The 16,433-nt window shown below is 38.0% G+C and overlaps 1 protein-coding gene across 1 annotated transcript in view; it reads right to left on the bottom strand.

The window, feature by feature from the left end:
- Window positions 1-2,694: 2,694 nt before the first annotated feature.
- The window catches only part of POTEH (POTE ankyrin domain family member H), a 31,606-nt gene continuing 17,867 nt past the window's right edge, over window positions 2,695-16,433 (bottom strand). The window contains exons 7-11 of the mRNA NM_001136213.1: window positions 16,236-16,306; window positions 14,500-14,544; window positions 13,292-13,458; window positions 4,548-4,666; window positions 2,695-3,040 (exon numbers count right to left, since the gene is read on the bottom strand). Of these exons, the coding sequence (NP_001129685.1) occupies window positions 4,549-4,666; window positions 13,292-13,458; window positions 14,500-14,544; window positions 16,236-16,306 (401 nt within the window). The 3' untranslated portion in view covers window positions 2,695-3,040; window position 4,548. The remainder of the gene's footprint in view (window positions 3,041-4,547; window positions 4,667-13,291; window positions 13,459-14,499; window positions 14,545-16,235; window positions 16,307-16,433) is intronic.

Here is a 16,433-nt window from a genome sequence, read left to right as displayed (position 1 = left end):
TGTGGCTGGAGGCAAGTTGAGAAGTCTTACCTAGTCAGGAGGAATAAGAACAGGGACTTGCTTAAAGAAAAAGTCTGGCCACGTTTTTATAGAGCAGCTGTGCTGTGCTGGGGGTTCACTTCAGCCCCTGGCTACCTCAGACACTCTGAAGCCCTAAGGCTGAAATGGCTGGGTCACCCAAACAGCAAAGATGACAATCTGGTCCTCCCCCCGGGAGCTCTGACTCAGGGAGGCCTGAGACCTCTGTCGGCCAGAGAACAGCAGTCAAGGTAGCCAGAGACCCTGGTTGAAAGACTTCACCCACTGACTAGAAATGTGTTCGGGGACTGACTTAAACAAGAGTCTGGCCATGTTTTCGTAGCGTGGCTGTGCTGTGCTGAGGCACCTCTTCTACCCCTTGTCAGCTTGGACTCTCCAAAGCCTGCAGGCCAGAACGGCTAGTCACCCAAACAGCAAAGGTGGTGGCCTGCCCCTCTCTCCAGGAGCTCTGTCCCAGGAACATTTCAAATTTCCATTGGCCAAGGGATGCTGGTGGGGGTAGCTGGAGGCCCCAGTTGGGAGGTCCTGTCCAGTGAGGTGGAACAGGATCAGGGGCCTGCTTACAGAAGCAGTCTGGCCATGATTTGGTAAAGCAGCTATGCTGTGCTCTGGGATCTCTTCTTTCCCTGGTCAGTTTGTACTCTCCAAAGCCCTCAGGCTGGAATGACTAAGTTGCCCGAACGGGAAAGATGGCGGCCTGCCCCATCTTTTCTCTCAGAGTTTTATCTTGTTTCATGGAACTTAATTTTTAGCCTGTTGATTTTACTGTCTACATTAGATTTGTTGAGAAAGATTCTGTAATCTTTTAGGTTAGACAAATGAGAATTCATTGTCTTCTGTAAATAAACCTGTTCATGTCTTGTTCTCTGGAAAGAAGTCTCTTTCAGCTCTCTGACTTTGGTCACAATCATGTAGAGCAGTAGCCAGTCTACAATGATGTAATTGAATTTCCATTTCCAGTGTTTCGTCGTTGTGTCTTACATTGTCCAGTTCAGAACTGAGCATTTTATTCTCAGTTGTCAACATGCTAAGCTGTCCACTGTACAGAAATACTGTTTTTGTTAATGCTTCCTCATTGAATTTTTTTTAAGGTGTGCACTTTTTTCCAACTCTCCTTAAGTCAGAGTACAGGTAAGCCCTGGCTGCCTCCAGCCACTCTCAGGGAGACCAAAAGCCTTCATACACCCCAAGTTGGGGTACAAAAAAGGGGGGCCGCGAAGGCTGATCATTCTAAATAAAACAAAATTAAAAAGTATTTAGGCAAAGATTCAAAAAATTTTGCATTACGTAATTTGCATGAAAGCAATGCCATCACCTCCCCTGTGTGAATTAGGGAGAGGACTGGGCCATTCTCCTTAGAGAGAAGTGGGGTGGCTTTTAGAAGGGCAAGGGGCTTCCTGAAACAATGCATCTCACAATATTTGGAATGACTATTGAAAAGAAAAACAATGTACGATCAAAGTCCTCAGCCACATTGTAGAACTTTGGGGGAAGCTCACTCCAACCAACTGTTCTCGCCTTCACCATTCCAGTTTTTAAATCCTGAGTCAAGCCAATAAAAAACAAAACAAAAAATGAAATAAGAAAACAATTAAAGCCATACCAATCTCATGTGGCTTTCTGCGAAGTTTGGTTTTGTCAAGAAAGGGTGTAATGCAACTAAGTCAGCGTCCACCTAGAAGCATTTGCGGTGGACAATGGAGGGGCCTGACTCATACTCCTGCTTGCTGATCCACATCTGCTGGAAGGTGGACAGCGAGGCCAGGATGGAGCCACCGACCCACACGGAGTACTTGCGCTTGGGAGGAGCAACAATCTTGATCTTCATCGTGCTAGGCGCTAGGGCAGCGATCTCCTTCTGCATCCTGTGGGCAATGCCAGGGTACATGGTGGTGCCACCAGATAGCACTGTGTTGGTGTACAGGTCTTTGTGGATGTCCACATCAGACTTCATGATAGAGTTGAAGGTAGTTTCGTGGATGCCACAGGATTCCATGCCCAGGAAGCAAGGCTGGAAGAGCACCTCGGGGCAGCGGAACCGCTCGTTGCTAATGGTGATGACCTGGCCGTTGGGCAGCTCATAGCTGTTCTCTAGGGAGGAGCTGGAGGCCGCTGTGGCCATCTCCTGCTCGAAGTCCAGGGCAACATAGCACAGCTTCTCTGTGATGTCACGCACGATTTCCTGCTCGGCCATGGTGGTGAACCTATAGCCACGCTCGGTGAGGATCTTCATGAGGTAGTCAGTCAGTTCCCGGCCATCCAGGTCTAGGCGCAGGGTGGCATGGGGGAGGGCATTCCCCTCATAGATGGGCACAGTGTGGGTGACCCCGTCACCAGAGTCCATCACAATGCCAGTAGTACGGCCAGAGGTGTACAAGGACAGCACGGCTTGGATGGCCACGTACATGGCTGGGGTGTTGAAGGTCTCAAACATGATCTGGGTCATCTTCTCACGGTTGGCCTTGGGGTTCAGGGGTGCCTCGGTCAGCAGGATGGGGTGCTCCTCGGGAGCCACACGCAGCTCATTGTAGAAGGTGTGGTGCCAGATCTTCTCCATGTCGTCCCAGTTGGTGATGATGCCGTGCTCCATGGGGTACTTCAGGGTCAGGATGCCTCTCTTGCTCTGGGCCTCATTGCCCACATAGGACTCCATCTGACGCATGCCCCCCATCATGTTCTGGTGCCTGGGGCACCCCACGATGGAAGGGAAGACAGCCCGGGGGGCATCGTCACCTGCAAAGCCGGCCTTGCACATGCCAGAGCCGTTGTCAATGACGAGCACGGCAGTATCATCATCCATGGTGAGCTCATTCAGTTGTAGACCCTTTAAAAGATTATCATTCTTTTTTTCCACACTTTCAATTTCCTCCAAATATTTCTTTTCTCTTAGCTGGCTCTGATGTTTCATTATGTCTAGTTCCAGTCTTAGCATGACAATTTCTTCCTGCAACGTACTATTTTCATGCAAGAGGTCTTTTTCTTTCTTATAACTAAGAGAAAGCTAAGTAAACAAAGGGAACTTTTAGTTAGCACTCAATAGATTGATATATCATGATTTCTTCTGAAATTAAAAAATAACATCTGTATTTGTATAATGAAAGAATCCCCATAGTGGATATTTAACTGGAAAAAACTGGACAAAACTCCAAACCTAGCAGAGTGTAAATTCCTCTAGTGATTTATTTTTCATAGTCTTTAAATAAAGATTTAAACTTTTAGGAATCTGCTCCTGAATTCCTAAAAGTTTAAATATTTATTTAAAGACTATGAAAAATAAATCACTAGAGGATTTTTAAGAATCTCAGAATTAAAAAAGCCTTTCTCTGAGTTACAAAAAACCCAGAGGCATAAAATATAAGATTAATACATTTGACTATATTTTTAAGATTAGGTTTATACTCTGATATCTAACCTATCAACCACACCATCCTAAGAGCCTTAGCTATGCATATATTTGGACAGAAGCAATTTCTCAAAGTTCTTTAAGTTTCTTTTACTGAAGAACGTTTTACCGATATTCTACATTTCTAATATTTTTATACTCAGTTATAAGAATTATATTTATTCATAACTTAAATCTAAGCACTGTACCCTTCTACACTGTACACATCTGTATCTAAGCATTGCACTCCTACATACAACACTGAACTCATTTAAGATCGTGATTCTTAAAAGGAGAAGTCAAAAAATATATACAAGATGCAGGATTTTCCCCAGGTCTGCTGATGCTACTTCTAGTGATCCTCCACAAAACCACAGTTACTTCTGTGGTGTAAATATATAAATACAAAAGAAGCCTTTTGTTTCAAAATATGAATGGTAAGTAAGATGCAACTTATAGAGATTTTCTTAGAAATCATGAGATTATTTGTCATTGTGATAACTTTTATTTCCTCTTTATAATGTTTGAAACAGTAGTAACTGTGAAATAGGGGAAATATACTCAACTATTTCTCTAGGAACAAAATACATATCAATAAATTATCACTAAATGTATATCATGGCATGTCATTGTTTTCAAACCTCTTTACATTGAAATGAGAAATTACTTGGAGCAAAGTGTTCCTCTCCACAAAAGTAAGGATGATGACATCCACAATGTGGCCTCTGACCCAACTATACATTTCCTACTTTCCTATCAGTGAAAACCATCAATTGACTTCTCTATTAACATTTTTTAACAAAACTAATGTCCAAAAACTAGAAAATTTGTTTTTAGTAGCAAAACTTAGTTTTGATATGGAAAGATCATCAATTCTTATGAAAAATATCAAATGCTTCTCCTTTGGATTGAGGCCATTGTGAAGGTCACTACTCGACTGTTGCAGGCAAATGGAGTTGAATTAAGAACATGGCTTTCTCCTATATGTACAGATATAGATACATGACAAAGGATATATAGAATATATACACACATATATATGACTTAAAAATCCTTTGTATATCCAAAATACATAGTTTTTAAAAAATATATACACATATAAAAACATTTGAAAATAACTAAATACCTCAGAATTCATTTTCAGCCACTTCTATCTGCTTTTCTTCATGAATCAGAATCTCATCTTGTAATATTCCAGTGTTCTGTTCTTCAGAAAGTTGCTTCTGAGTATCATTTTGTTCATCACTAGAAAAAAAATTAATTTTCATGAAATACTGGAGGTGTCCCCAAAATGATCTACAGGGCAAGATGGCGCCATCAGATGTCATTCACACAATGTATATCTGCACATTATTCCAATACAAGGCAAAGGGGTCTCACATCTGTTAACCGAGTATCCCCAACCATGCTGGCACCAGGGACTGGTTTTGCGGAAGATAATTTTTCCAGGAACCTGAGGTTTGGGATGGTTCCAGGATGATTCAAGTACATTACATTCATTGTGCACTTTATTTCTATTATTATTAATATATAATGAAATAATTATATAACTCACCAAAATGTAGAATCAGTGGGAGCCCTGAGCTTGCTTTCCTGCGACTAGATGGTCCCATCTGGGGGTGATGGGAGATGGTGACAGATCATAAAGGCATTTGATTCACATAAGGAGTGAACAACCTATATCCCCTGCATGAGCAACTTACAACAGGGTTCAGGTCACACTCTTAGGACGATCTAATGCCACCGCTGATCTGACAGGAGGAGCAGCTCGGGTGGTAATGCGAGCGACAGAGAGTGGCTGCAAACAGATGAAGCTTTGCTTGCTCACCTGCCTCTAACTTCCTGCTGTGTGGCCCAGGTCCTAACAGGCCAGGGACTGGTACTGGTCTATGGCCTATAACTCATACTTTTTGTGTTTATTTTTTGGAAACATTTTCCACTTATATTCTTGATTCCTATGTATTTTATAAACAACTTAGAAATTCCTTTTAGAACAAGACAGGGTCTAATATTATGTTTTTAACATAGGACTTTGAATTAATTTTATCTGTGTATGAGAGAGAGATGTGAAATAAACTCATCATTAAGCATTTTCCATTTTACTTTTATTTCATGCATATTAAGAATAAAACTGGGAAGTCCTAGGCAAAGCAATTGGGCAAGAGAAATAAAGGGCATCCAAATTGGAAAAGAGGAAGTCAAACTATCTCTTCACCAATGATATTACCTTATACCTAGAAAACCCTGAAGATTCCTACAAAACACTCCTAGATTTGATAAATGAATTCAGTAAAGTCTCAGAGGTTACAAAATGAATGAATACCAATCAGTAGCACCACTACACACCAACTACGACCAAGCTGAGAGTTCATATCAACAATCCAATCCCTTTTACAGTGGCTGCAAAAAAGTGTGAAATACCTAGGAATATGCTCAATGAAAAAGGTGAGTGATCTATATAAAGATAACTGGAAAACACCACCAAAGAAAATAACAGATGACACAAACAAATGAAAATACATCCTATGTTCATGGACTGAAAGAACTGATATAGTGAAAATGACCACAGTGCCCAAAGCAGTCTACATAGTCGATACAATTCCTACCAAAGTACCAATGTCATTCTTCACAGAATTATTTTAAAATGCTGACATTCATGTAGGACCACAAAAGAGCCTGAATAGCAACAGACATACCAAGCAAAAGGAACAAATATGTTGGCATCACGTTACCTGACTTCAAATTATACTCTAAGGCCACAGTAACAGAAACAGCGTGGTACTGGTATAAAAACAGATACATAGATCAACGGAACAGAACAGACAACTCAGAAATAAAGCCGCTACAACCAAGTGATCTCTGAGCAAGCATACAAAAACATACACTGGAGAAAGTACAGGTTATTCAGTAAATAGTGCTGGGAAAAAAAGAGAGCCACATGTGGAGGAATGAAACTGGATCTCTATCTCTCAACATATACAAAAATTAATTCAAGATGGATGAAAGGCCCAAACCTAAGACCTGAAAACATTGGCCTAGGCAAAGAATTTATGATGAAGACCTTAAAGCCAATGCAACAAAAATGAAAATAAATAAGACCTAATTAAACTAAAAACCTTCAGCACAGCAAAAGAAATAATCATCAGAGTAAACCAACAACCTATACAATGGGAAGAAAATTTGAAAATTATGAATCTAACAAAGGACTAGTATCTATAACCTACAAGAAACTCAAACAAATCAACAGGAAAAAACACAAATATTTCCATTAGAATGTGGCCAAATTACATGAATAGCCATTTCTCAAAAGAAGATGTACAAACGGTAAACAAGCATATAAAAACATGCGAAATATCTCGAATCATCAGGAAAATGCACAATAAAATGACAGTGAGATATCACCTCGCTGCAGCCAGAATGGCCACTATTAGAAAACAAAAAAAAACAGATGTTGGTGTGGATGTGGTGAAAGGAGAACAGTGATACACTGCTGGTGGGAATGCAAATTCATACAAATCTATGGACAACAGTATGGAGAGTTCTCAAAGAACTAAAAATAGATCCTACCATTTTATCCAGCATTCTCATTTCTGGATAGCTACACAAAACAAAAGAAATCGTACTCTCACAAAGACACCCGCACACATATGTTTACTGCAGCACAATTCACAATATGCAAAGATATGGAATCAGCCAGTGTCCATGAACTGATGAATGGAATAAAGAAAATGGAGATATATAAAAATATATATATCTCACATCACATATATATATATCACATATACGTATGTGTGTATATACACTCACACATATACGTATGTACATACCCGAGACTGGGTAATTCATACACATACATACCTGAGACTGGATAATTCATAAAGGAAAGAGGATTAATTGATTCACAGTTATGCATGGCTGGGGAGGCCTCAGGAAACTTAACAACCATGGTAGAACGTGAAGGGGAACCAGGAACCTTCTTCATAAGGCGGCAGGAGAGAGAGAATGGAAGGGGAAAGAGCCCCTTATGAAACCGTCAGCTCTTGTGAGAACTCACTCACTATCACAAGAACAGCACGGAGGAAACCGACCCCATGAGCCAATCACCTCCCAGCTGGTCTTTCCTCAACACCTGGGAATTACAATTTGACATGAGATTTGCATAGAAACACAAAGCCAAACTATTGTGGGGGGGTATCCTTATTTTTAAAATATCTAAATGTCATTATTTATAATTCAAAATAATAATTTTTATTAGTGATGATTTTGTTTGAAAATAGAATGATCTGATAAATTTTTTTCACTTTTAACCTATTCAGTCAAAATATATAAAAAGCTAGATTTGCCAGCAGAATACTGTAACTACTTTTTAATGAGATAAAAATGTATAACAACATCACTATTATTGTACAGAGAAAAAAGTGAACATAAAAAGGAATTTAAAAAGACAATATGACAATATGACTATCATACACATACATGAACTGACAGACTAAAATCTCCTACTGGAGATTATGTTAGGACTTGAGCAAAAGCTTCTAAAAATACCCAAAACAAACACAAAACAATTATTTTTAAGAAATAAATTATACAGAGAACTCTTCTGGTTAAGACGATGTATCAAAAAAAAATCTCCGTGAGAGCTATTATTAACCAAGTCATCATAACCAAAACTTTAAATCCACAATTCTGAAATATTAAAAAGTTTCATTTTGAACATAGTTAATGGAAGGCAACTTTTGAACAGAAAATTTCTGTTTAAAGTTGACTCAAACTTAGGAAAGAATTGACCTGTAGCCATGGTAACAAGAAGCCACCCAGAGCCAGTTCAAAATCTAGTCAATCGATCAATGACCACTGGCTTTGCTCACCAACCAATATCAATGTGAGCAGCTTGCTTCTGAAAGACAGCCAAGCAGCAACAGCTGCTTCATCAGAATAGACAGTGCCTGACCAGTATAGTCTTACTATCCGAAGCAAAAGATTCCAACTGTCTTTTTATTTCAAATACCAAAGGTCTATAATCCCTTGGAAACAATTTGTGAGTCCATTACATTTACCACCCTAATATTTTTTTAAATAAAATACTAGTGGCCGGACATGGTGGCTTACGCCTGTAATCCACCCAGCACTTTGTGAGGATAAGGCGGGTGGATTGCCTGAGGTCAGGAGTTCGAGACCAGCCTGACCAACAGGGTGAAACCCCGTCTCTACTAAAAATACGAAAATTAGCCGGGCCTCATGGCACGCGCCTGTAATCCCATCTCCTCAGGTGGCTGAGGCAGGAGAATCACTTGAACCCAGGAGGCGGAGGTTGCAGTGAGCCGAGGTCACGCCACTGCACTGCAGCCTGGGTGACAGAGCGAGACTCTATCTCTAAATAAATAAAATACCAGTAAAGTTTGCAATTCCTCTGACTCATTTTACCATAATTGCAATTATCATGATTACCAGTAAAAGAATAGTGAATAACCACAATATTGGACTTTTCTCCCTAAGTGAAAAAATATTAACATAAAGAATGTAGATTATAAAAAGCCAAAAGAATTTTAAAAATACATATAATTACCAGGCAAAATTGTTAAAATGAACTCTGTCAAACACTTTTTAAGTGAGAATCAATCAAACAATATAGCCAGGATAAACTCCATTCATTCATTTAATACTTATTTATTAGGTAGCTACGTCTGATAGGCTAGGCCTTTTTCTAAGAAGTAAGGATATGGTAATGAACAATAAAAACCCTATTCATGAGAGTGAGATAAACACACAATAACAACAGACAGATAAGGCAAAATATACAGTACATTAGAGGAGAAAAACTAAAGCAGGAAAATGAAATGTTTACCTGTTTGATGGGAAGGGTCGTGGGAAAGTTGGGATGGCCAGAAAAGTCCCTGATGAGAAAGAGGATTTTTCTTTAACACAAAGAAACTTTTATTTGTACATCAAAGACTCTAAAAAATGATGATGTTAACAGAGTTGATGTCAAGACACAAATAGGTTTGAAGTTAGAGATGATAAATCACTGTTTCATTGAACCTTCCCTCAATTACGTTAGAGAGAATCCCTGGTATGCTCCCAATTGAATCTTAAGCCTGATGCGTCCTGGTGATACAATCGTAATTCCTTTCTGTTAGTCCTCGTTATCTCTTTTTCTTTTTCTTCATTTTTCTCTGGACTAGGAATTGTGCTGGTACATGGTTCTTCCTCCGAAAGTGGTTATTCCTTAATGTGTTTCTTTTTACCCTTTTTCTTCTTCTTAGAAAGGGGATTTTAAGTAAAAAACTGAAGTAATGGAAACAGTAAGCTAGAAGAATATCTGGGGAAAAAGCATTCCAGACATGGGGAACTGCTAAGTGCAGAGGTGTGACTGGAGTTTTTAAGCACTAGAGATAGGTAAGGAATAGCAAGAAGTTCAGTGTGGCTGAAACAGAGCAAAAGAGATAAGAAACAGAAGTTTAAGCAGGAGAGATAACATGCCAGATGGTTGACTGCCTTTTAGTTATTAGGAGGAACTCTGACACATACTTAGCGTGAAATGGGAGGCAATCAGAAGGGCTGGGGCAGGGGAATGACACAATTTGACTTATGTTTTAAATACATCCACTGAGTTAAGAATTGATGAAAGGGGAAGTTTTTAAAAACCAGGACTATCAATTCCCAGTCTATGACACTCATCTAGATGGCAGATGATGGTGGCTCACATGTGCAAGATATGACTGGCTTCTGGACATATTCTTCAGGTAGACCTGACGAGATTTACTGAGAGATTAGATGTGAAGTGTCAAGAGAGAGAGAAAGATGAGTCTAGAATGACACCGAGGTTTTTGGCAGAGCAACTGGAAGAGTTGCCATTAACCAAAGTAGGAAAGACTACATGAGGTGTAGATTTCAGGAAGGCCATCAGTAGCCCAATTTTGGATCTGACAAGTGTGTGATACTCAACAGCTAATCAAATAACTATTTATTAGGTAGCTACGTCTGATAGGCTAGGCCTGTCAAGTAGCCAGGCTGATACAGAGATCTGGAATTAAGGAGTGAGATCTGAGTTGGAGACATGCATTTGGAAATCACTAGCATATATACAGTAGAAAAAGTCATGAAGGGCCAGGCACTGTGGCTCATGCCTGTAATCCCAACACTTCGTGAGGCCAAGGCGGGCAGATCACCTGACATCAGGAGTTTGAGACCAGCCTGGCCAACATGGGGAAACCCTGTCACTACTAAAAATACAAAAATTAGCCAGGTATGGTGTCACACACCTGTAATCCCAGCTACTCAGGAGGCTGAGGCAGGAGAAGCGCTGGAAGCCAGGAGGCAGAGGTTGCAATGAGCCAAGATCGTGCCAATGAACACCAGCCTAGGGGACAAAGCCAGACTTCATCTTAAAAAAAAAAAAATGTCATGAGAAAGAAGATTGAGGACTGAGCCATGAGAAACAGCAATGTCCAAAAGGAGAAAGATGAGGAGGAGCAAGCAAAACAGACCGTGATGAATGGACTAGAAAGGCAGGAGTAAAAGCCTGAGGGAGTGAGGTCCTGAAAGCCAAGTGAAGACGCCGTTAGGGAGAAGATGCCCTCCATTGGCTCAAATATTGCTGACAGATTAAATAAAATGAGGTGTAAGAAAAAATGCATAGATTTATTTACAGAAAAAAGTAGTGATAACCTTGAGAAAAACAACTCTGGAGGAGTGCTGAAATTGAAGACTTACTGGCATTGAGATCAAGAGTGAATGGAAAGAAAATTTGAGTTCGTGAGTGTAGACAGTTACTTAAAGGACAACATACTTAACACTCACGACTGAGAATGATGTAATTTTCATCCACAGTCATGGAAAAGTGATAGACAAGAAATAGTTTCCAAATTTTACATAACAGGTGGAGGTTTCAAATGCTATGTAACAATTATATATTTCAAAGGTTATAAAAATTATACACATGTGGCATTAAATGCCAGACCAAGGTTTTAAAGGCCCCTAGAACATTTCTAGATCACATAAGCTGATTATCATTTTGTTCATTCATGCTTATACATAAAGACCAAGAAATACTAAAGGTCTCAACGAGAATATTTCTTGCTTGATAAAAATCAGCCAATTCTAGGACAGTTGACACTCATCAAATATACAAAGTAATTGATCACAGTAAAATACTGAGTTCTATTAACAGGAATAAAGAGAGAGAAATGCAGAAAATAATCTTATTTTATAAATGAAGTTTTTAAAATTATATGAAGTCACTGTGGAAAAATATGGTGAGGTGAATACTCAAATATATCCTTTTCTCAAAGGAAAGATAATGTCACCCATGCAGGACACTTTTACATATAAGAGTCAATGCATTAGCAGCACCTTCCTTTTAGCACAAAGGTCAGCAAATAAGCACCTGTGGGCCAAATCCAGCCCACTGACTGTTTTTGTAAGTCAAGTATCCTGGAACACAGCCATGCTTATTCACTTTACAGTCCATAGTGACAATTAGCTGGGTGTGATGTTGCACACCTGTGGTCCCAGCTAGTAGAGAGGCTGAGGTGGGAGGATCACTAGAGCCCAGAAAGTCGAGGCTGCAGTGATCACACAACCATGATCACACAACTGCACTCCAGCCTGGGAAACAGAGCCAGACCCTGTCTCAAGAAAATAAATATATGTAGTCCACAAAGCCTAAAATATTTACTAATTGGTTCTTTGCAGAAAAAGCTGGCCAACTCTTGGTTTAGTAGATCAAAGATCTTTGATGTATTTTAATAAAAGTTTTACCCAATACACTGAAATGTTTATATTAAATATAGATCCCCATGTACAATCCCTTGGCAATATTCAGACTGAGGGTCCAATATTTCAGCACTCAGGCACTGACAACAAAAATTTAATAATTAGCAATCTTGTTGCTAACAAGGTACAGTGTCAATGTAGCATGTAGCTTCCATTTCCAACACAGCAGATATTACAAGAATTTTAACAAGAACTCCTAAGATGTGTCATTAAACTAAATGCTTTAAATACATTTTAATTGTGAAATAATCAGTATACCCTAGATCTAACCTCATTTTTCAAAAACGGTTGCATAATACATTATTTTGGGGGTATGGACATTGAGCTATTTCCTATTGATAAGGGAGTAGACTAGCTCCAAATTTTTAGTATAATAATGCTATAATAAATGTCCTTATATGTAAGTATGTATGTAACATATCTACACAAATATCCTTTACATGTATTATACATCCTTACTCCGTTATATATCTGTGTGTGTGTGAATATGCTACTAAATTAATGTTCAAAATGTATTTACCAACAGTGTATGAAATGTCTTTTTCAGTGAAACCATTTCCCTTGCAGCAACACAGATGGAGCTGGAGGCCATTATCCTAAGCAAACTAATGCAGGAACAGAAAATCAAATGCCACATATTCTTACTCATTAGTGGGAACTAAACATGAGAACTCATGGACACAAAGAGGAGAATAACAGACACTGGGGCCTACTTGAGGGTGGAGAGTGGCAGGAGGGAGACGACCAAAAAACTACCATTCGAGTATTTTGCTTATTATGTGGCTGATGAAATAATCTGTACCCAAACCTCCATGATACAGTTTACCTATATAATAAACCTGCACATGTACCCTGAAGCTAAAATAAAAGGTCACTGAAAAGAAAAGAAAATGCCTTTTCCCTCACATTTGCCAATACTGGCTATTTTTCAAATAAATTAATGACTGGAAAAAATGGTAACTCATTGTTTACTGATTTTCATTTTTCTGATTAACAGGCAAGGCTGAATATCCTAGTAAAAGTATAAAATTTGTTCATCATGAATTAGATTCACAGCATAGAGTTATCTCCTGTTCAATGTTGCCACAGACTTACCTGTGATACTGTTCATTCTCAGTGTCAGGAAATTGCTGGCTTTCAGGTGTTCTGCTTTTCCTTGGTGGAATTAATCCATCATCACCATTGTCAGCAGTGGCACCGTTAGTCAGGTTTTCTGGGAATCCCATATGAGTACTTCCGTGCTTCTTCATTTCTTCTTCAACCTTGAATGAAAGTTTGATATTAAGGATAGTTATCCCTTTACTGAATAGAAAGAATATTTTTAATTGATTTTATCACTTGACCAGTTTATCATTATTTTAGTCATTAAAAACATTTCACTCTTAAATTGGATCATATACACAGAACTATTACCATATAATTTTAAGATGTACTTATCATATCACTAATATATCACAGAAATTTTTGTAAAGTTTGCTTCATTTCTGTTTCAATGAGTAAAACAGAATTTTCCAAAATTCAAAAAGGGCCCTCCTTTATTTTGTGCTTTTATTCTCAATCACTCTTCAGAATCTTATATATGTATTTACCCCCATTTGACTGGTGGGAACACATAAATAAAAAGACAAAGATGCAAAATGTGTCTTCATCCCTCTTTACCACCTAGATTTTACATTAAACAGTCATTTTAGAGGATGAGACACCATGGGGCTTCAGGAATAGAATGGAAGATGGCCCTTTTCTGCACTAAGATATTCTTCTCCCCCACTGCCTTTGAGCATTCTTTTTTCATTAGGTTCCTAGGATATCAAAAACACGAAGGTGCTCACTGAAACATGGGAACCAAAGTTTCCCACAACATAAGGAGCAGAGTGAAACTGCTGAGGTACAATCATGGAATTCCAGAAAATGAGTTGCTCCCCAAATTTCACATTCGATAGCCATAAAATTTTCTAGCTGGAAAATACACAGAATAAAAAATTATCTACTTTAGCCACATTTTCTATTGATAATCAGACTAAAACCAAGAAAGATAAAATTATTGATCCAAAGCTCCTAAAGTGGCATTACTTAGCATTTTACGGCACCATTTGGGACTATTCCATAATAATGAAAGAATATCTCTAGGGTTTGCATCTCTTTAAAATTCAATGTATAGAATTCTGAGTTAAGTATTAAATTTTTCACTGATGATTTATGCTACTTACATGATAGGATCACGTATGCCTACACTTACTACACTTTGTTAAACAACATAATGTAAAAATCTAATTCAACGCAAACATTTGAATATAAAAGTATACCTTTCTATCACCACCCTTATTTATTTCTGGTTCTTGAGACATTTCCTGCAGATGCAAAAACAGAAGGTTAATTTGCTTGTTGTATTTCTGTGATGTCTCCTCTTTTGGAGCACATGTTTTTAAAATAATTTTATTCTTAAGTAATCAAGTATGGACAATAAAAATTAGAAAATAATTAAAATTAAACTTAAAAAATAAATAATAATTAAAATTAAGATTAACTTTTTAATCTATGTTTAGCTACCGCCACATCACTGGCTTCTAACATGTGAAAAATAATTCACCTTAGCCAAAGGGAGAAGAAAAACATGAACCAGCAAACTTAACTTGGTCACTATTTGTTCAGACTAAACTTAATTTGTTATGTGTTAAATCTACCAAAAATGAATCAGCAGATCATTTGTAGTGTTGCAAAACCTTCCTCACTTGAAAAGAGTTTACCTCATGAAACCCTAACTAGTGAGCCCCTACAGTGCACTGAAGTGCTTTTTCAAAAGATTCCTAACTGGATTGTAGGCACACTTTAAATTATTAGGAGCCGAAATCAACACCAAACAGAAAGAGATGCAAATTCTTACATTTTAATTGAAATTATATACTGTAATATGATAGTGTTATGTATCTAGATTATCTGCTTAAGTCCAGTTCTAATATATTCTAATATGTACTAATGACAGTAGATAAAAATTTTAATCTGTCCTGATTTTCTGCAACTGAAATAAATTAGAATGTTATTGTGTTTGTGCACTAACACCAAAGGTCCCATTCTGCAAGATATGATTCCTTTAATAGGCAGTTGGGTTGCTTTTTTGACCTGGTTCCCTCCCTAAACAGAAACACTGAGGTCAATGAGAGACCACAAGGCAGAATATATCTTTAACCTTAGTATCAGTGACTGACAATATAAAACTGCAGATTTTCAATCACTGGCCATGATTACTCTTTAACCATGAATCCAGCTCAGGGACCATCAGTGTTACATTGTTCATAATTCTATTGCTTAATAATATAATCCAATAATTGATGTTACATTCTTCATCATGTTAGGATGTTGTAAAAATAAAAGAACAAAGTTCTGAAATTTGTTTTTGCCTCTATTCCAAAAGGAAAGATTAGCTATAAGCTAATCAAGAAGGCAGATAAGAATATTTTAAAATAAGAGTATTTTAAATTTCATAGTGGGTTATGTTGAAGTTAAATATCAAATATTAAATTAGAATCTATTGATTCTTTTAATAAGGTTGCTGAATTTATTACAATAAATTTTAAGAATCTATTAAAATATTTTTTTTTTTTTTTTTTTTTTTTTTTTTGACACAGAGTCTTGCTTTGTCACCCAGGCTGGAGCGTAGTGGCAGATCTCGGCTCACTGCAAGCTCCACCCCCCAGGTTCATGGCATTCTCCTGCCTCAGCCTCCTGAGTAGCTGAGACTACAGGTGCCCACCACCACACCCGGCTAAGTTTTTGTATTTTTAGTAGAGACGGGGTTTCATCATCTTAGCCAGGATGGTCTCGATCTCCTGACCTCATGATCCGCCCACCTCAGCCTCTCAAAGTGCTGAGATTACAGGCATGAGCCACCCCCCCAGCCAAAAGATTCTTAAAAAAAGAATCTATTGATTCTCAAAGCCTAGTCTCAAAAGTAATTTCATTTGGACTATCTAATATTATTAAAGCAAAAAAAAAAAAAATAAAAAACGTTAAACCAAAAGTTTAAATTTAAGAGTTTCCATGCCTCTGGCTGGCTATTTTCACTTCCTTTAAGCCTTTGTGACTCTTCCTCTGATGTCAGCTTTAAGTCTTGTTCTGTTGAAAAATCCATATATTCAGTTAAAATCAACCACTTACAACAGTTAAAAACTATTGCCTTTTAAAAACAGATTTAAGACATTTCATTTTATTTCATAAATTGAGTGTTTAATCTTTCATGAAA

This window comes from Homo sapiens, chromosome 22 (genome assembly GCF_000001405.40).
Source record: "Homo sapiens chromosome 22, GRCh38.p14 Primary Assembly".
In the NCBI taxonomy this organism is placed as follows: Eukaryota; Metazoa; Chordata; class Mammalia; order Primates; family Hominidae; genus Homo; species Homo sapiens.
Note: the sequence above shows the minus strand (reverse complement) of the source record. Positions and strands in the feature narration are given on the sequence as shown.